This window comes from Homo sapiens, chromosome 1, assembly GCF_000001405.40.
Source record: "Homo sapiens chromosome 1, GRCh38.p14 Primary Assembly".
In the NCBI taxonomy this organism is placed as follows: domain Eukaryota; kingdom Metazoa; phylum Chordata; class Mammalia; order Primates; family Hominidae; genus Homo; species Homo sapiens.
The window spans coordinates 198,894,096-198,915,711 of NC_000001.11; the positions used below are offsets into that span (position 1 = coordinate 198,894,096).

General features: G+C 33.9%; 1 long non-coding RNA gene across 1 annotated transcript in view; it reads right to left on the bottom strand.

Annotated features, from left to right (window-relative positions):
- Positions 1 to 21,616, bottom strand: part of MIR181A1HG (MIR181A1 host gene) — a 129,427-nt gene that overhangs the window by 86,093 nt on the left and 21,718 nt on the right. Inside the window, exon 2 of the long non-coding RNA NR_040073.1 lies at positions 6,316 to 6,474. This is a non-coding gene — a long non-coding RNA (MIR181A1 host gene). The remainder of the gene's footprint in view (positions 1 to 6,315; positions 6,475 to 21,616) is intronic.

Genomic DNA, 21,616 nt, shown 5'->3' on the forward strand with positions numbered 1-21,616 from the left:
TACCTAAAATTAAGCATGTCTCCAGAACAATGCCTCTCTATACTACTGCATCGCCGGAGAACTTGTTAGGAACACAAGTTCTCAGAAACTCTGATCATCAAGCCCAGCAATATGCATTCCAATTAACCCCCCAAGTAATGCTGACACAGCTAAAGTTTGAGAAACTTCGGCCTAGCAAATCTATGGTAGCTGAGTGTTTCTTCAATAACTAAGTTGGAAGAAATAGTGACCCAGTACTTGGTTAAAGGAAATTGTAATTTCTTTTCAATATGAACATATTCACTGTAAAAATGTTTAGTCACATTTCAAATATACTGGCAAGGATAAGTTCTCATATCCACTTTTCCCCTTTATTGCATGCCATATTATTTGTTTTCAGGGAAACACTTTACTGTAATTTAAAAGTGCAACATACAGGAACAAAGCATTGTTACCCTAAGCTCTTCATAAAGAAAAAAATTGAACTATAATCATGCCACCATTTTATTATTTAGTTACTACAAGTTGGACTATAAATCCTCCCAAGTTTAATATCTGAATTTTGATACTACAGATTCATGGTAATATGTTTAGCAACATTACAATTAATACCTGAAAGGAACTGATCCCACATCTATCCTCAGTGAACAATGCTGGGTCTACAAAAGAAAAATCTATTTTAATATTCATGGATCTAGATAGCTTATTAAAACCTCAAATTTTAAAAATATAATAAAAGAGAAATATTGGTATATTTAAATTTGGGGGCCTTCACATCACCTAGTAGAAAATTTTAAAGTAAGTGACCTGGTGAGGTGAGGTGGCTCATGCCTGTAATGCCAACACTTTTGGAGGCCAAACTGGGAGGATCACTTGAGTTCAGGATACCAAGACCAGCCTGAACAATACAGGAGGATTTCATCTCTGCAAATAATTTTTTTAAAAAATAGCTGGATGTGGTGGCACACACCTATGGTTCCACCTACAATGGAGGCTGAGGTAGGAGGATTGCCTGAGTGGGGGAGGTTGAGGCTGCAATGAGCCATAATCACGGCACTGCACTCCAGCCTGGGCAACAGAGCGAGAACCAGTCCCAAAAATAAGTAAATAAATAAATAAATAAATAAATAATCCTTAGGAGCTTTGGGAAATTATCCATGAAAGTCATAAAGAATGAAGGGCAAATTAGCTAAGTCATTCCAGGTGCTCAATGAGGAAGCCATATACACAAACACACACACTCATTAGATATTTATAAATTCATACTGAAGGGAAATCTTCAACATTTACTAAATCTTGAATTGTTCATGTAGCTTTTTTTTAACAGATAAACTAAGCTAAAAGTTACTGGTTTAACAACTTTCACCATTTTTGAAACAATAATGGATCAATTCCATATAATATACTTTTTTCTATTGTGTAAAGCTGAAGATTTCATACTACCTAGATATTTCTCTGTTATTGACTTGCCTCCTAAGCTTCCATGTGACTATTATTTTTTCCTTTCTTATCAATTTATTTCCACCAAAACACACACACACACACACACACACACACACACACAGAGAGAGAGAGAGAGAGAGGCATATTAAGTTAATAGCTTCTCTGCCATCTCATCTTAGTTTAAAAAAAGTTAACAGTCCATATTTTAGACATGATTATCATGATTATCAGCTCAATTTAATGATGATTTCCCAGGTTCTCTTCAGATTTTATCTTTCACTCTCAATGTTTGTGGTCTCCCAAGAAATCTGTGCTTTAATACATGGATAAAGCCAACATTTATGGAAAGGCACAATGAAGGCTACTCTTCTGTTAAAATCAGCTCCATGTAGAATCATCATAGTAGGGTCTTGTTTTGTTCACTGCCACAGAAAGTTACCTCTAAAAACCTATTACCATATTTAACTATAATACACAAGAAAACTTTTTCATACCCAAAGGCAAACATTTTGCATCTATTTACCTTATTTGCACTGCAAATTTTCAAATAAGGCACAAAATAAGAGCCTACATTCAACATCTTTCAACATTCAACATGTGTTGTGTAGCAAATATTTCAAGAGATGAATGTACCATTGCGATTCTTATTTTTATATCCTGCAGAAACATTTGCATTGTAGAGCTATTCTTAACTTATTACATAAACTTTCTCTGTGCAAAATTCCTATTAATGTGAATGCAAATAACCAATCAAACTAATTTTGCATAAAGATAAATGAAGAAAGCAAAATTGCCTAGACAAATAGTCTAAGCAGATTTTGTTCTCAAGGGAACATTCGGCAATATATGGATATCACCATAGTGGGAGGGGATACTATTGGCATCTACTGGGGAGAGGTCAATAATGCTGATAAAAATCCTCCAATGCACAGCAAATTTCCTCAGGACAAAGAATTATCTGGTCCAAAATATCAATAGTGGCACCTGTTGAGAAATTCGGGCCCAGAGAAAAATAAAGTGTTCTCTAGGCCAATATGAATTGGCCATAGTTACTGTAATTTCCATGTTTCCTACTTGAAAAATGAAAGCCTTCCATCACAGCAGTGTAACCCTGCAACATGAGTGAAATTCACTTTTCTTATACTCAAAATCTCCACTTCCACTCTAATTCTCAACTCCTGGGGAGAGCTTTCCTTCTAAGTGCAGAAACTATGACTAATTATTACAGACAAGCATTGAATCTTTATTGACTAACTAACATTTTTGCACTGGCATTTTGAATTATGTGGTACATTGCCTTGTGTGAATGTTCAGCTTTGTTAATCACTTTCTTTTACTGAAAAGGAAGTTATTACATTATGAAATTACTGCTCCTTATAAAAAAAGTAGTAATTTCACTATCTATATAATTACTATTCCTAATAAGACTTTTATTTCTATTTCATCTCTTTCTAAATTTTCTTTGTGATTGACAATTAGTTGACAAAATACTAAACCACAGCCAAATTTCTAAACAATATAAGCTGTTGATCAAAATATACCTTTCACTGTGCCTTTAAAAAATTCTTGGTTTTTAAAGGCACAGTGAAAGGCATATTTTCTAGAAATGTTTTCTCTACTGTACATTATAACCTTTTTATTTTTTAGCCAAAGGATGTTTCTAGGCTCCCCTGGCTAAAGATGTCACTCAAAATTTAGTGTAATTTTGCAACATAAAGATAACAGTAGACAAATGTTGCTGTGAATTTACAATTTATCTAGCAATATAAAAATAGAAAATTGGGAATAATGTATTTTTGTGCAATCTGATTTCAAGTTTCATTGAGTTATGTCCTTCAGTGCTATTTGTAGAATATGGGCAGGTGATACACAGCTGCACTTCCTGTCCCTGAAGATTCTAGGAAAGGCAATTGGCGTGAAGCCTAATTATTTCTGCTATATTTGATTATAGATACCTTTATTAACACCACAGATACTGCACCCCTACAAACTCTGATGATATCTTCATATCAGTTGTTACAGAGAAGTCTATAGAAGTAACAGGAAAAAATAATCATGTTCATCCTCCTTTGTGATGATTTCCCTGTACTTTTTTGGCTAAGAGAATTCAATTTTCCATATATACAAATTAATTATATGATAGTAGTGTATATTTTTGATATATTATTATTTAAATTATGACAGCCATTGAGACAATTCAGATCTTGATGATATTCATCTGAATTTGGAGACCATAAAATATAAATTAAGCCTGCCGACTGCCACATGATTCTGATTTCTTAAAAAAAGTGATTATTTTTATTTCACTGAGATGTGTCCTTGGTGTTTTGAGACTGAAACATATGCTCTGAATAAATAACAGGTAGCACTTAATTGTGGAGACGGAGAACGCTTTAAGTATTGTTATTTCATCAAAATGTTCATCTTTAACTGAAGAGATGACCATATTTTAAACATTTGAATCAAAATATGTTTAGGTTTAGAAAGCTAATCAAATTATGATTACCTAAATACATTGAAGACTTGCATTGTTAATCCTAAGGCAGTCTTGAAGCCTTTTGGAGCAACGACTTTTTGCTCTTCTAGTTTTCAAAAATCCTCATTTTCAGTAATATCACCACACACATTTTTGTATGATATTTGCAGTATTAATCTGAGTGGATATTTCCTTTAAAATTTCTTTATTTCTCCAGAAAAACTAGAAAGCCAGTTTAGGGGTATAATTTAAATTTTAAAAGCCTTGTTTAACAAAAATATTTACTGGTATATTTAATATGTTGGTTTAAAAAATATTATATCTATTAAATCTTCAAGAACAAACTATATTTTCTGCAGAATAAAACTGATTGTCTCCAATAATAGGATCTAGCTGTTTATTGATAATGCATTTCCTCCCCACCTCACCACTGCCAAATTTTATGGGAATTCTTATAAATGAGAAGATGAGATTTTTTTTCTCCTTCTTTTTTCTTTTTTAAGAATACAAAGCTAATAATAGAAAAAAAAACTTCTGATTTCCACCAAAACTGATGAAATAGCTTACCTTCTTTTCTTCTGGGTAATCCCTTTGTTCTGGTTAAAACTACAGAACTGTGAGTAATAAATAACTGGAATACACAAAAGTGAAATAGGGATTGTACTGGTATCCAAAAATATATTTATGTACAGAATTTGGTTGGTTTATATATTTTATACATATACAGAGGTCAGAAGATTTATTAGAAATTCAAGTAAGTTTTGCTATACGAATAATACACTCAGGCAATTCAATATATATTCTTGCCTATGTTGAATGATGGACGGTTACATTTTACTGTGTATATATTTTGATGATTATATTTCTTCTCAAACAGTCCTAACCAGTTTCTGAGAAAGTATTTTCTTTGCCTAAATATATGCAAAACTATAATTAAGCCAACAGCACTTATAGACAAGCTGAATGGCTTAGGACAGTTGATTTTTTGTGCATCATTTTCTTCATCTGAATATGAGAGTTGTATATACAGTTTCTATACTTTCTACCAGCTCTGAGATTCTGTTAATTCTAATGAAAAATAAGAATAAAGACAAATTATACATTGAAATTCTCAAGATCATAGTGAATATTATGCAAGGTAGACAGGTACCTACATTTATCATTTTGTTGGTGATCCTGCTTCTATCAAAATTCATGCCACAAATTACTTCATCTACAAATATTCCTGACACCCATAGAGCACAACACATTAAAAAATGGACTAGTGGACTGGGGAGGCCCTTCTGAGATGCACTGTCTCCTTTCTAAACATACTCTATTTTCTGGGGACATCCAGCATGGAACAGTAGTCAGAGGCCAAGAACTACAGTAAAAAAAGGGGGTGGGAAAAGGGGAATGAGAGGAAGGAAAGTAAAATATAGAATTGTCAAAGAGGTAAAATCAAGTGGAAAGTGTGGGGACACAGGAATGGGGCGGGGAATAGAAACCAACTGGGAAATGGATTCAGCGAGAACTACCTACAGCACATCTTCAAAACTGGGAGCCTGATTCACTGTCAGACGCAGAAGTGTCTTCTTCCCAGACTCTGAGCTCCAGTAGCCACATCTTTAAATTGCCTGACTCCAACAGCTGATTTGGTTGCCACCACATAAATAGAAATTATAGCTTTCAACCCTTCATTTTATCTCTCTTACCTATAATCCTCTAGTTCCAGTCTGTCTGACCACTTGACAAAGGTTTCTTCGTTTTTGTTTTGTTTTGTTTCAACATTAGTGCAGCATTGGGGGAACACTTAAATACGTTTTACACATAGAGAACAGTAGACAGCCCTGGAAACCCTAGACGAGAAAAGATATATCCTGCTGGGAACATAAAATGGCGCACAGGACACACACTAATGATTCTTGTAATTGAGATTGTCATGTGTCTTATTAAAAGCCATCATTTACCTGGAGGTCTTTCTTGAAAAAAAATGCAAAGATGCTTTACAGATTTTACTTAAGAATGTTTCTCAAAGCCTTACTGATCTATTTTCATAGGTATGTTGTTTGGTTAGGTCCTTCAAAGGGCTTCAAGGTTTACTTTTATATTTAAAAAGAGTGAAGATGAAAGCTATTATTTGAATACAGCATTGCATTCAGTGGCACCAAGATGCTTATTACAAGTGCCCCGATGAGACAGTCGAAGCGTCTCATGGAAGCCAGTCTCCTCTAATGTGTATTTTGGTGCCCTGTCTGCTGGTTCGCCTAAGTGATGTGGCATACATTTGATGAAAGGACAGTAAATGACATCAATTATAAAAGACATCTACTAATGAGAGGAAGAAGAGGAAGAGAGAGAAATTGAAAAAAAGAATAAGAAATTCTCTGAAATGGAAACAGCAAAGCACTTTGATTGAACTAAAAGAAATGACGTACCTTAATCATGCCCTAATTTTAGGGTACCACCAACCAAGCTACTCACTCTTCTTTGGAAAGATGACGTGTTTCTTCAACTTCTGTACAACTGTCATTGAAGATTTAAATCAATCTCCCTTCAGTTTCCATCATTGATTGTTGGTAATTTTGCCAGGATCTCTGTACAAAACAAAACAAAAAGATATTATGTGAAACTCAGGCCATGCTGAGCAAATTAGCTGAAATTTATTTTTATCCTCTTATGGGGATGTTTTCCAGTTCAACAATCCATAGGGATCTGCCAACTTTTCACATTCTAAATTTTCTCCTTTCTAGGGCTACTAATTTGGTCGCAGAAAACATATTTTTTTCTCTATAAATAAGCTTTGTCAAATAACAACCAGAGATTAGTGAAAAGATAAACTAGTTTTGGATATTTCTGGCATACTAATTGAATACAAGGTCCACATTTTCTCTCAATGCATATGCCATGCATAAAAACACTTAAAAATATTACATTAAATATTAGCATAATTGTTAAGGAAATCTAAGATTTTATTCTCATACATCTTATATAAATATACTTGCTTTTTAATCAACCAGTATCTCTAAAGAGACTTTATCTACCTAATAATAATAATATTATTTTATGTTAAAATCATTCTTCTAGTCTATGATAATAAATTTTCAAATAAGAAAATATTAAATGTGATTAAGCAGTGTGGTTTTTCCCCCTTCAATTGGGCTAAATAAAGACAAACAAATCTGTTTCTTTTCTTTTCAATATTGAAGTATAGAATCCTGATATTTTGCTTAAAAAAATACTGTAAGAGACTGCTTAGAATTTATAAGTTTGATGACCTTCTTAGGTTAGTCATTACATATCTCTGCAGGAATGCATTTCTATTACTTTTTTCTTGAACATTTTCTATATTACAATATGTTTTATTCCCATGATATTCTATATTCAAAGCTCTAGAGACTGCTTAGGAAGCACAACTAAAGATGTGTGAATGACCCTGTTGGCTGAAACGCAAGGAAGTGTATTGAAAAGCTTCACATGTCATCCAGTGCTGTTCTTGCCTTCCAAGGCAGAGGCAGTGCGCTTGGCAGTCTGGGAAAGGGCATAATCTTGCCCGCATTTTCTGGATGGATTTTTGGGTCACTCTGGTTCACACTGGCTCACTCAGCTATTCTGTGTACATATACTTAGTAGTGAAATGACTAAAAAAGGAAGGGTGAGTTAATATCAACCAATCATGTAAACAAATATAAATAAATAAAGCAGATATACTTTAAGAAATTAAAAGTCACAGAGTATCAGATTTAATTTTATAGCATGTGAAACATTCTGAAAAGTGAACAAATACACAAATCAACTGGTCTTTGGTGTAGTGACTACATAGCTTTGGACTGATTTATTTTACTGTATTCACCAGGGACTTCCTGTCCTTATTAATACACTGAACTGTTCTGCATATTAAGCTTAAAAGTTTTAAAAGACAACAAAAGTATTGCACACTCTCTTCAACTCCACATATTAGCATTTTGTAGTCAATGCTGGCTTTGTAGATTTAGTCCCCATTTTCTTCAGTTGGCAAAATTCTTCATATTACAGACAGATAAACTAAGGCTCTAAAACTCAGTAAGATTTCAGAGTAGCTGAATAGGGCTAAAAAGTCCAAATTCCCAAACCAGTGCTCCCATTTGATAAACAAATAGATGAATACTCACATTATTTTAATATCTCAAATGAAATATTAATTTTATTAATTAATATTTTAAACACCTTGGTTAAATACTCCATAGTATTCTTCTTAGATTCGAAATGATACTGAAAATGTATCCTGACATGAATGTTGCTCTGAGACTTTAAGGGTTTGTATAAAACATTTAACAGACATAGGGTTTACCTAATATTCTCTTTCCTTTCAATTTCCTTTCAATTATCTCTCATTAGATTATAAAGTAATTTCTTAGTCTCTTTTCTCTGTCTGATCCTCCTATTGACCAAAGAAATTTAAGAAATTCAGGAGCTAGGAAGGGGATGAGAGTGAACAAAGTGTGTTCTCAATTTTTAAAAAATTTGTTTTAAAACTTTCTTTTTAATTAAAATATCCCCAGTGCAATTTCTTGGTCTACTACTCCTGCCAGCTACTATTAATTATACTTTCACCTGTTAGGGGTCTAACACTCTCTAAAACATATTAAGCCAAGTTTTCTGTAAGTGTTGAGCCTATCTGTTAAGAACAAAATGATACTGAATGGATTTGGGTGAATATGTAAGCGGACAGGAAGAAAAGCGTAATCTTCCTTAGTAAATGACAAACTTTCTTTGTCTCCCAGTCCTAGGCTTTGTACCTACACACTGCCTGGTGTGGTGTGGAGGCCGACCAGACGGCCTTCACTGTTAGATGCCAGAAGAAGGGACTGCAGAAGCCAAGGCCCTGGGCACACAAGCTAAAACTTGCATGCTTGGCAAGGCTCAGATGCCAGGTTTGAATCTCTAATAAACCACTCGCTGCCTCTCCAGTAATGATACCCTGGGGCTGCTGGGAGGGGATTCTTTTTATAGGAAACATACTCATAAGGATTTAATATTATCTTTCAGAACCCTTTGATTTAATGGTTTTTTTAAAAAAACTTTTCCCCCTTATTTTGTAGACCCTGTGATGTGAGCCAGTGTTAATTCCTAATCCAACAGTAGTATATAATCAACATCTCTCTACTGAGCTCAATATTCCTTTTCCTTTTCAGCCGTGTGCTTAAAAAAAAAAATAAAATATCTTGCCACTGAATGTCTTTTTACAGACTGAAAAGACTTTTAGGTTAAACAACATTTGTTAGGCTTTGATGCAATCAAATGCAATTTCAATCTTGAATTATTCAGCCCTGCCTCTCTGAAATTGCACATATGTGTCAGCTTTCAATTTTTCTCACTAGTGTTTTACACATGAAATCTATTTTCACTGAGAAAATGGAATCTTTGTGTCTTTGTCTCTAGGAGCGCTGCTTTCAGGCATGTTCTGGCAGGGGCTTTGACTGTCTAGGCACTGGGGGAGGGGCCTGGCAGTCATTTGTCAGCTTTTCTTGCATCTGTAATTTCTGGCCACTCAGCAGTATTAGAAGGTCTTAGAAAGGGGGTGAGGAGGGTGCGGGGAAGAGCTTGTCATTGATGAAAGCCAAACCCCGAATAACTGCCCAATGTTAATGACCAAAGAGAGGAGAGTCTGAAAAACTTTTATTGTGCTTTAATGAAAAAGACTTTTTGGAAATGGCTAATTTACAAAATTGCACATGGTAACATTTTCAGATCTCAGTTTAGAAAGCCCCTGTCCATATTGTGTTACCGATTTCATTGCTTTTAGCTTGGCAAGGGCTCATGAAACTATTTTAATTTTCCACCAGTGGCTTCTGGTTATTTCTGCTCTTATTTCCTTGTAACAAAACTGACAGCCCAATTAAACATCTGCATTTCTTAATCTGAATTTCCCCCATAACTATTTTGCTTTTCTTCTAAAACTTCCAGATGTTTTGGTTCCTTTATAATTTTAATGCATGCGAGTATATTTCTTCCCATTTCAAAGAGAGAGAGAAAGAGAGAGCTAGACGGACTGACCAGATGTTTCTATATGAAAAGCTTTGTAATACACCAATAATCAGGTCAGTATTTTTGTCTCTTTATGAGAATATTTACATTAGAATACATCTCATTGTCTTTCAGCACTTTACAATTTGAGTCGATCTGTGCAACTTATTTTTGTGGGCCATTAGATTTCAGAATTCACATTGTGATCTGTTAATTAATCCTTGTGGCAAATGAAGAAAGTAACCAACTCTGTTATCTCAGTATCTAGTAACCAGGATAGAAGCTGCTGTGATTTGTTTCTTATTACTTGTCTTTTTACCCCCTCTGTGGGAAATAAGAAGTTGTAGGTTATGTGAAGCAACAATGTATTTAAATTCATTTTCCAGATTTGTACAAACATGGACGGAATCATCAATATCTTGCCTTGAAGTGTCTGGACAAGAGTTTAAAGAGTCTCTTGTATATTTCAAGAAAACCTGTTTCCCATAATTAATAACAGGAAGCCTGGTAAACAGACTTTTGCTGACAAATGAAACTGAAACAGTAACATATACACAGAAACATGGGAAAAGAAAACAATGCAGCATTGTATGGTTATTCCAGAAGAGTAGCTCGGTTTGGATACACTTATGCAATACTCACATAAAACCTCAAAGCCCAAGATTATTAATTATATATTTCTGACCATGTAAACACATACTTGCAGAGTACAATCATTTATCCCACTGCTTACTATTTGAAAATGATCTCTGGCTATTTAGACATTTAACATTTAGGCAGAAAATCATTATTTCCTGGAATATAGATTTTCCAGACTATCAAGTAAACATGAAGAAAGACAATTTTAAAAAAAATTATTATAAGATTGTGAAAGTCCATTCTTGATGCATACTTCTGGAAATGAAATGGGAACACATAATAAGATAATTTTGGTGTAACTTTTTTTTTGGGGGGGTGAGGAATGTATATCCAATTTGGGGAGCGTATATTTATGAGGTCTCAGGCACACTAAATGCAACAGTCATTAATTAGACAATTCACTGTGCAACTTGACCCATTTGTGCTTAAAGCTCTGGACAATGCTTCCCCTGGAAGTAATGGATCTTTATCTTCCAATTGTATCATAGAATGGGAACTCTCTGATCCCAATATTGACCTTGAAAGTAGCAAACTGAGGTTATCCATGGTGTCCCTGCTTAGAAACATGGAGTTTGAGTTTAAAATTTTTGTTTTTGTTTTCAAAAAAGAATTAGCTGCTTATTTAAGTTAACTATTAGGAATGAATTGCTTGATCCTTAAGTGATTTTTTAAAATTACATGTTAAAGGTGATTATCTGAGAATGGTTAAATGTAAAATAAGCTTAATCAGATATTTATTTCTGTTTATTTTAAGATGAATAAGAGAATAAGCAATGACGGGGGGAATAAGAAAATGTTTTTGTTTTATGATGTATTGTATTGCACATTAAAGGATGTATTTTGATGATTCGAGAGTAATAAAGAGACCTAAACTGTGCTACATAAGTAGAATTACTTGCCTTCTTGGTAGGCCCTCGTAAGTCGTATCTTAACACTAGAAAAATGAGAATGGAAAGTGTCCTGGGTGGCAAGGGCAGCGGTTTGTGACATGCATAATATACATTCATACAACTGACTTAGGAACTGAAAACCAAATATATTTTTTTTCTTAACCATATCCGCAGTGGATATAAATTTGAGTCAAGGAAGTTACACTCAAAATGGAATAGGTCCAATTACAAATAAATAACACTTGTTTCATATTTTATATATACCTGAGTGAAAGAGAAGGACATATGACACACTTGAACTCTGGAATCTTATATTTATTGTGGAAGTTGGAATCAACCAAACAAATACTTTGAATTTAAAGGGACAGTTGAGTTGGAATAATTATCGGAGTAGACACTTGTTAATTGCAAGAGAAAGTAAAACGTTTCCTTGGCTGTAAAATTTCAGTGAGTTTGTAGGTAAGAAAGAACAACATGCAAAAATTTAAAGTGATGAAAGTGTACTTATTTGAATTGCTGTTAAGTATAGGATGGACTCTATATATTTTTTTAGGTATATATTAGCTTTTGGGGAAGCTTTTTGGGAAAAAAGTGTTAATGAATCCTAAATCATAAGAAATGTCAATAAAGCTGTCGTTTGTTAAATCCTTGTAGAAAGAAAAGAAAGCCAATCAGGTTTCTTACTAGAATTATGCTATTTGCAAATTGATGCTTTGGAAAATATAAAATATCCTTCCAAAAATTTTAGATAAAAGTCTTCTCGGAAAACTTTTAAATATAAACTAACTTTTAAGTAACAATCATAAATTTATATAAAAACGAGGATATCCAAATTTAAAATAATGATTTTCACAGGCAGATTCATTATCATACTCTCATTTCACAATATTTAAAGCTATTCTTGGAAATGGTTTATCATAAAGACCATGTACATGATATGACTTACATTGTTTAGTGATATGATCCCAGAGCCACCCCAAATCTGGTTACACTAATTTCTCAGGTAGATTAGGTTGAATAGAATTCCCAATACCTGGTAGGAATAAAATCTCTCCTCCTTTCTTTGGCTCCATGAGAGCACAATGTACTAGTCTTTAGATGAATCAAACAGGAAAAATTTGGTGTATATATTTCAGAGAACAATGAGCTCTGTGTATGATTGTCAGAGCATCAGTAAATTATCTTGCTTTTGTAGGAAAGTACTAATGAAAGCTTCATTTCTTGAAAATGAGATCTGGAAGAAAAAATATTATTGACCACAGCATTATACATGTCACTGAACTTGGACAAAGATTTTAATCAAAGAGCTAAAATATATCAAGCAAAGTTCCAAGTTAGACTTGTTTAAATGTTCTCATAGTAACGTCTTTTGGTTCAAGTGGTTTGTGTATGGTGTATAAATTTCATTTTTGTTTGCTCATCCTATCATAAACACACGATTGGTGATTTCTCTAGTATACTGTCTTCTAGTTTCCATTTTCTTTTTAGTAATCTGCCACAGAAAACAGTAAAAATCTGCATCTTGACTTCTGCCTTTCCCTCTATTATTAATTTATTCATTTAGTTAGTCTTTTGTAAATTTCCTCTAACAGGTATTCTACAGGGATAAAACGTATGGGTATAAGTGGAAACTGGAAAAATTATTTCTTGACTACTTGGTGCCTTCTAACACTTTCAGTAGCTCCTATAATCTATCTGATACCTAGTAAATTTCCAATACAAGCAGAGTAATTTCTGTTGTGAATGTCAGGTATGAACAGGGTAATCCCCATCAACAGGGTTTGCTGAAGAGCAAGGAAACAGCGTTGGTACAATTCTTTGACAGAGAATTTAGCAGTTTCAACACCTCCCTTCCTGCTCCCTTTTAAGATTCATTGTTATCATCAAACAAAACTCTAAGACTATTTCAGACTTCCCAAAACAAGGAAGTTCTTTCAAACTCCAACCAGGTTTCTGGAGATCTTTTTGTCTTGCATTGTCGTGTGCTTTGCTTAGAACATCCCAATATATTTCCTGTCATTGTCATCATTCTAAACACTGCGACCTGTAATACACGCTGAGCCCACTGGAGGAAAACATGTTATTTTGTTAATAATGTGCTAGCAGTAGAAATTATTAAGATTGAAGAGCAGTTTTTAAAAATCTATTCAAATGTGAATAAATGATGGTTTTGATAGGATCTACATTAAAGTAACAATTACAATTTTATTTGTAGCATAACTATAGGTCAAGGCTGGACATGCACATTGACTATAAATATCAAGAGTGCTGATTCTTCTGTAATAAACAACAGAACATGCCTAACATATAAAAATCAACCTTTTTATTTTGGCCTTACAATAAAAAACAAAATGGTGAATCATTACTGCTATCCAATTAGCATCCTTTTTTCTAATTTCTCACCATTTACATGTCTTCTTCCTTCAAAGAGAAATCAAATTCGCTTTGCTAGAGTGTAAATTATGTTTATAAATTCAAATTTTGTAGAGCAAAAGTATAACATTTGTCTTGGTGGTTTAACAAGTAGAATATTCATAATATATCCCATCCATAATATATTCAGAAACGAATTTAGCTCTGCTTTACAAAAACTACAGATATTTAAAAATAAAAATAATTTTGAAGTATAGCTGCATTTTTTTTTGTTTAAATGAGAATTCATATGATATTGCTTGAGAGTTTCTGACTTTTAAGAACCCATGGATTTATTTATAGATTACTTAGCAAATGTAAGTATACATTGTCAATTTGTTAAATTCTACTTGCTTCTAGATAAAGGGTTTATTGAAACTTTAAATATGTTGTATAAATTCTATATGAAAGGAAATTAGAACAATGTATAAGCAACTTTTGGGAATTGATGCTCTTCGATTCTACATTTCTGTTCTTCATGGGTTGCAATATCTCTAAAGTGTTCAGTTCACTTTTATTGAAGTGTGATAAATAGGCATGTCAAATTGTATACAGAGAATAGAACACAAATCAGCTCTGCCTGTTTCTGTTGTTTCTTCATTCTCTAAATAAGTATCCATTGCTCAATACAAATAGGGTATGTGCCCTTTTATTTGGCAGGTCTTATTTCTTCATTGACTTCCACATTACATGGGATGGCAATAGAATTAACAGCCATTTATATATCTGGGAAGAAAGATTTATTGGACAGAAAAACAACAATTTTCTTTCCTTTTTAGTATATTTTGTACTTTCTCTTATAAATTCTATGGCAGCAAACAGTGACTGAGTGAAACTTGGTATACAAATTTTAATCTTATAATTTCAGATAACAAAAATCATTCCTTTAACAATATTTATTATGTAAAACCATCAATATTTATTTTTCATTATGCACAATACAGTTTTTATTATACATAATGTGGTAATATTTTAAAATAGTTTGCTCATAAAATTAACACTGTAAATAAAATTTATTGCTTGTATATTATAAAAAGATAATGTTATATTTTATACTATGTTACTAGATTTTTATCTATAATTTCAAGAATTATTTGGTTGTGTTCTTGAAGCTCTATGAGAAAATATTTCTTATGCTAATTATAAGCTTAGTAAACTTAAATATTTGAGATATTTGTGGTTTTGAGTGGCAGAGTATTTTTTTATTATTGTTAATGGGATTAGAAAATTCTGAACTTTGGAACCTAACAAAACAACCAAATAACCATTTCATTATACTCTGTCATCACATTTACGATGCTCATTGGAAGCAGAACAGAACAACGCTAAATAGAAGACAGAAGATGATACACTTCAATTTCTACTCTTACATAATCTTTTGAAAACATCTAAAATTTGCAATCAGGGTTTAAGCATGCCCGACTTTCAACAAATGCAATTTCCAAAAAGACAGAGTTGAGCATCAATAACTCTGACAGGATAAATTATTCTACTTTTAGCAAATCTACGTGCATCCATTATAGCATCTTCTTAGGCAAAAAAAAAAAAAAAAAAGAAATGAAAAAAGTGACTTTTTCCTCTTTCATTGGAAGGAAACCTAGCATATAACCAATGAGACGACTCCCAGTAAATATGCAGTGCCATCTTGATTGCTCTTGGTGACTATCCATACTTAAAAGAGACTGTTCCTTTCTGTATTTTAATAAATCCTTAACTCTGTTTCTTATACTCTTCTATCTCCCATACTTACTTTGCAAATTCCCCTATGATCAAGGATTAGCACAACACTGAGGGCTGAAATGAAAAGAAGGATCTAAGAGAAAATACCTTGAAAGAGACGACAGAACTCATCTTTGATGGAACAAAGAAAAGGTTAAAAAATTCTCTTTGGACACCTGAAAAAAATGTTTTCTTTTTTTTTTTTTCTTAGAGAATAAGCAGTTGGTGGGAGTCACCAGATTATCAGTTATTTAACCTCTCAAGACTAGTGGCAGGTTTTTCCTTTCTTATTTAGCTTAAATGATTATTTAGGAGTTAGGTCCTCAGAAAGCAAGGATTGTTTCCAATTCTCTGTTATCTTTGTACCACTTAGCCAGAATATCATGCATTTTAGGGGCTGTCAATAAATACACAATGCATTAAATTCTCTTTGCGTTTCCAGAGGAAGCCGGTAGGGAAAAGAAATAAATGAATGCCTGACTCAAGAGACTGAGAGTCTATTTGAGTGAGGTGTGGGTCTAGTGGAAATCTGCAGAAAAGAATCTTGTAGAGGAAAAATGACTCACAAGTATGTGAGGGGGAAGACTTTTTAATGTCAGTGTCCATATTTCCTGATTAAAGTGAGGGTATTTGCATCATGTTCTAGCATTCTAAATATAAAAGCAGCTAAGAATCTCCAAGAATCCCTTAAATTCTTATTCAAGAACAAAAAGAAATGAATAGTTTAGAACTCAAATATTATAATAAAAAAGTATTCTCTAGCGCAATAAAATCATTACAATAAAACTTGTTAGCTGATTGGTTAGTGTTTTAGAGTGCTGTAAATGCATAGTAACTGAAAAATGTTTCAGAATTTAAAAAACAGGTCATTGGTTAATGATTCAGAATAAAGAAATATGTGAATGGTCAGGACTAACAATAAAGTTAGACTTTTTCTCCTAGAAATAGTTTGTTAAATGATATCTTTAAGGATGCTTTTAATAATATTTATGCTTTAAACACACATATTTAAAAACAAGACAACACAGAACATATCACTAATAGGATGTATTTTCCCCATAGAATGTGCTTGTTAAAATTGTTCAAAAATGAATTATTGCATGTTTGTGTTCAGCCTAAAAAATGCAAAACATTGCTAAAATCACTACACTAATCTTTTGAAAATAAGATGCTAACAATTTTTTATGAAGATAACCATTTAAGTCAATATTCAGAATTTTTCCTCATGCTAAAAATACGTTATATATTTTAAATCAAAACTCTTCTTGAATATGCAGAAGAAAACTGAGAACAAAATGTGAAATTTAGTAGAAGGAACAGTAGCTTTGGAGCTCTGGGATCTGTCTTGACTTGTGACACAAAGCATGTCACCCAGGCCTCTCTGAGAGATGGGGTTAATCCTAACAGATGAGCTCCCTAGAGAGTAACTGTGAGAATAATTACCATTATAAATATGATATAATGAAGTCCTCTCAGAAAAGATGCTCTTTACATCTGGCAGAATCTTACTTGGTAAAGTCTTATACGATAATTTGACCTTCACTCTAACTTAAAATACACCAGAATCCAGCCACTTCTCACCACCTCCACAGCTGCCGCCCTAACACAAGGCACCTGCACCTCTTGCCTGGATTATTGCCATACCAGCCTCAGTGGCCTCCATGCTTCATCCTTACGCATTATCACCACCCCTAGCCTAAGCTGTTCTTTGCACAGAAACCAGAGTGATCCTTTTAATTCTAGAGCCAAATCACATATGTCCACTGGTCAGATCCCAATGGTTTTCCATCACACTCAGAATAAAATTTTGAATCTTAACCAGAGCCTTTCAAGACCCTACATGATTTGCTCACCTCACTTCTTCACTGCGTCCCCTGCCACTGTCTCCTTGTTCACTCTAACGACCTCCCTCTTTACTCTTTGCTCATACATCCTAATAGCATTCCTGCCTCAGGGCATTTGCACTTGCTATTCCCCTAGTCTGGTCTGGAGAGCTCTTCTTTGGATATTCATATGACTCCCACCATTCTTTCCTTCAAGGCTCAGCTCAAATAATATCATATCATAGAGACCTTTCCTGATAGCCTTATATAAAATGTCATACCACATATAATAGTCTGTTCTCATCCTGCTAATTAAGACATACCCAAGACTGGGTGATTTATAAAGACAAAAAAGGTTTAACGGACTCACAGTTCCACATGTCTGGGAGACCTCACAATCATGGCAGAAGTAAAAAGCCACATCTTAACATGGTGGCAGGCAAGAGAGAAGGAAAGCCAAGCAAAAGGGGAAACCCCTTATAAAACCGCCAGATCTCGTGAGACTTACTGCCACAAGAACAGTGTGGAGAAAGCTGCCCCCATGATTCAATTATCTCCCATCAGGTCCCTCCCACAGCACGTGGGAATTATGGGAGCTACAATTCAAGATGAGATTTGGGTGGGGTCACAGACAAACCACATCATTGCACTTTCATAATTCTTTTATTTATCTTTTTAGTATTTATAGCCCCCTGATTGATTATGTATGTGTTTACTGTGTGCAGTGAATTTGTGTTTATCATTGTCTTCTCAGCAACTAGAAGGGTGCCAGACTTATAACAGGTACTCGATAAATACTTGTGGAATGAAACAATGAATCAGACAGCAATCAGTCACAGAGATACATCAGCCATAAGATATTTTAAGATTACATCTATTTGTTGTATTTCATAATCACTTCTTCTCCTAGTCTTATAATGGTACTTCTGTTATATGCAATTCATTTGTTTCTCAAGATTTATTCTTTGATAAGCTCATTATTTGTGCTTTTTAATGATGCATATTTAGGGCATGCTTCCATTAAAATCTGTAAAAGTAATCATTGTCTTCAACATTGGTCATGTATTGGGCATAGATTTTTAATTCATATAATTAGAATCCCACTCCTATCGGATTCCCCTCAATTCCTAAGGTTTTTGTTTTCTGTTTATTTTAAAAATAGGACTATTTGAATATTACAATTTAGGAAGAGGCAACTTAGTACCCTTCACATTTCTAGAGATATTCATGTTCTAGAGCTGGCTTTTGGATTTCTTCAGGGATTTTTCTAAATCCTTACACATTAACTCAATATTTTAACAAATATTTACTTGTATCTATTAGATCAAGGGCACTCTGCTGAATGATTGAGATCCTGCCTCCAAGGATTGGTCTTCTAAGGATGAAAATACAGTAACACAAGAAACATTGTTGTAAGTACCCTTAAAAGAATAGAGGTGAAAGGTTATTGACATTTAAAGAAGAGACTAAGTACCACAGTGGTAGATGAGTAAGTATTAGAGAAGGTGGCATTTGAGTTGAACTACATTTGGATATTCAGAAAAGAGCAAGAAAAAATCATTTCAATAGGAGGAAATAGCATAAGCAAATCTGGGAAGTATATGGAAAACAAAACAATAAGTTCACATAATAATGGGAAACCTTGGGCTATGATTGTTTACACACTCAATTTCTTTGTGCAAGAGTGTGCTTACTGTAATGCACAGTATGGCCTAAATATAAGTGGACTTGTACATACACTTGAAAACATGTACTTAAAAAATAAAAAATTATTTTGTTTTTCCTGCTTTTATAACTTAAAAACCCCCAAAATCAATGTTTAAGTTGCATTAGAAAATTCAATAAGTAATACATACAATTGCAGCAATGTAGGCATATGTAGCTTTGAGCTCTTGAAGAAAAAAAATTACATAAGTTTTCAATTATTCTTTATATTCAGTGTAATCAGAGTATGTGGCACACACTTTAAGTTACTATTTAAATGTGTTACCATTATCAGGTATTTGCTTCCATGATAAAATACCTGCCTACATATGCACACTGAGATGGTTTTCATGTTTTCTGTGCCTAGTGATTATGAACACGGAGAACTTGCTAGGGAAACTTAAGATAAAACTGCTCTTCCATCTTTGTATTTTTAGTGAGAATCAACATGTTATCTCCTATGTGCAATTCATGACTTCACTATAACTATCTTGAAACATTGCATTACTAGCAAATATATGGCCAAAGAAGGACACAAATAACTTTTAATTGTTACAAGGCTTGCATCATGTGTGAATCTCAGGCAGAGCAAAAAAATGTAAACTTCAGTTCGAATGTCAGTATTAGGCATTTTCCTCATCCGAAAGCATTGCTTGCTTTATATAGTTTCTTTTTTGAATGATTTTGAGCAAGGCAGAGCAATTACGTGGAATGCTGGCAGAGGCCCATGCAACATCAGCCCCAAGTGACCAGGCACACACTCTTGGGAAGTCCATATGTGAATTAACAACTGAGAGTTTTTCCTGTGTGGGTTGCATTTGCTTTTTATACTATGAAATAATAAAATTATATCCGGCCTGAAACTACACCAACTTAAACATGTGCTTCAAATGTGTAAATGAAGAAAAACACGAGGAGAAAAATTAATGGCTGCCTGTTTTTAAGTCTTTTGTTTAGAGAATAAACACTTGAGGAAAAATATGAGTTACATTTCATGCTTAAATCCATATTTCATTTTTGGCAATTACGATGTCACCTCATCTGAACTGATGCCTGAGTTATCTTTCCAAATGCAGATTTGATCCTGTCATAGTTTTGTTTGCAATCTTCAGGTGACTGTCAATTACCTGATACATAGACGTGTTCAAGGAACGTGGTCGTATAAATGAATCAGGTGTTTGCAAAGGAGCTAGATGGCATTCCCAGAATAAAATCATACACATATATGTTGAGATCCATTTTGAGAATGGAATGTTGTATAAATGCCTCCATAAACCCATGAGATTTTCTGAGAATTCTGCCAGCAGATTGCCTTCACACTCAAACTGCAGCTCCTCTGGGTCCCCGGCCTATGGCCTGCTCTATAGATTTTGGGCTTGCCAGCTTCCACAATCACATAAACCAATTCCTTAAAATTAATATCTCTCTCCCTCCCTCTGTCTATACATATGCAGATGTATACATTTATATATACATATCTTATTTTTTTTCTCTAGATAACATTGACTAATGCAGGAAAGTTGTATGGCTTGAAGATGACCATCTGAATACTGACCAGCCTCTTCACATATATTTTGCTCTACAACTCCTTGGTAAATCCTGTCACAGACTCCTTCGTAAAATTGTTTTAGAACTAGGACACTTGAAATCTGTTGGATATGTCAGCTTCACTTTTGCACTGAAATTATTCCAACATGCAGGACTGGCCTTCCCAGTAGTCAGTACAGTATCTCTAGAATGTCTGGTCTGAAAGGTGACAACTTTGAAGGCTATTTCTGCTGCATGCCACAGCCCTCCTACTGCTAGCTACCCTGGAAGGCAAAGGGTTGATGTCAATGGAAGAACCAAGAACAGATGATAATGGAGGAAAAGCATGAGAGAATTCCATGCCTCATCAACATCTTTAGCAAAATTGTTTCTACTCTCTGCAAAAATTAATACTACATGGTGAAATGATGTGGCTGGCGATGTTCTCATCTCATGATTAGGACATAAATAACTTTTAATTGTTTTTAGAAGGTTTGCATCATGTATGAATCTCAGGCAGCAAAGTTTTTCATATGGTAATGTACTTTTTTAGATATTTGCCATGTCCTATTATTTTCAAGTATTTATGATAGGCAGTTTAAGAAGGAGACTTTGTAGAAATGTTGAATGAAATCCTTTACTTAAAATGTAGGGTTAATTTAATGTTGAAACCAGAGTTGAAGTAGTTGGTGGAGTGTAGACATGACGTTGAGGGGCAATTTTCTTGTAGCTGGTTTGGGTGGACAATCAACTTGCTCTGCCCTCTACAGTTTGGAGCACTATTCCTAAGTCCTGGGGAATGAAGGGCATATGCCTCTTGTGTAAATCCCCAATTCTTCTTCACCCATTGTTTTAAGTGGAGATTTCTGGCAATCACTTCAAGCTTTGGTAACTCTTTCCTGTGGAGAATTATCTACTTATTACCATATATGTGTAGGTTTTTGTGAGCTATCTTTATGAATATTAATTTAAATAAAGAAATAAAGCTAGGATTTTTTTAACTTTACTATATTTTTGTA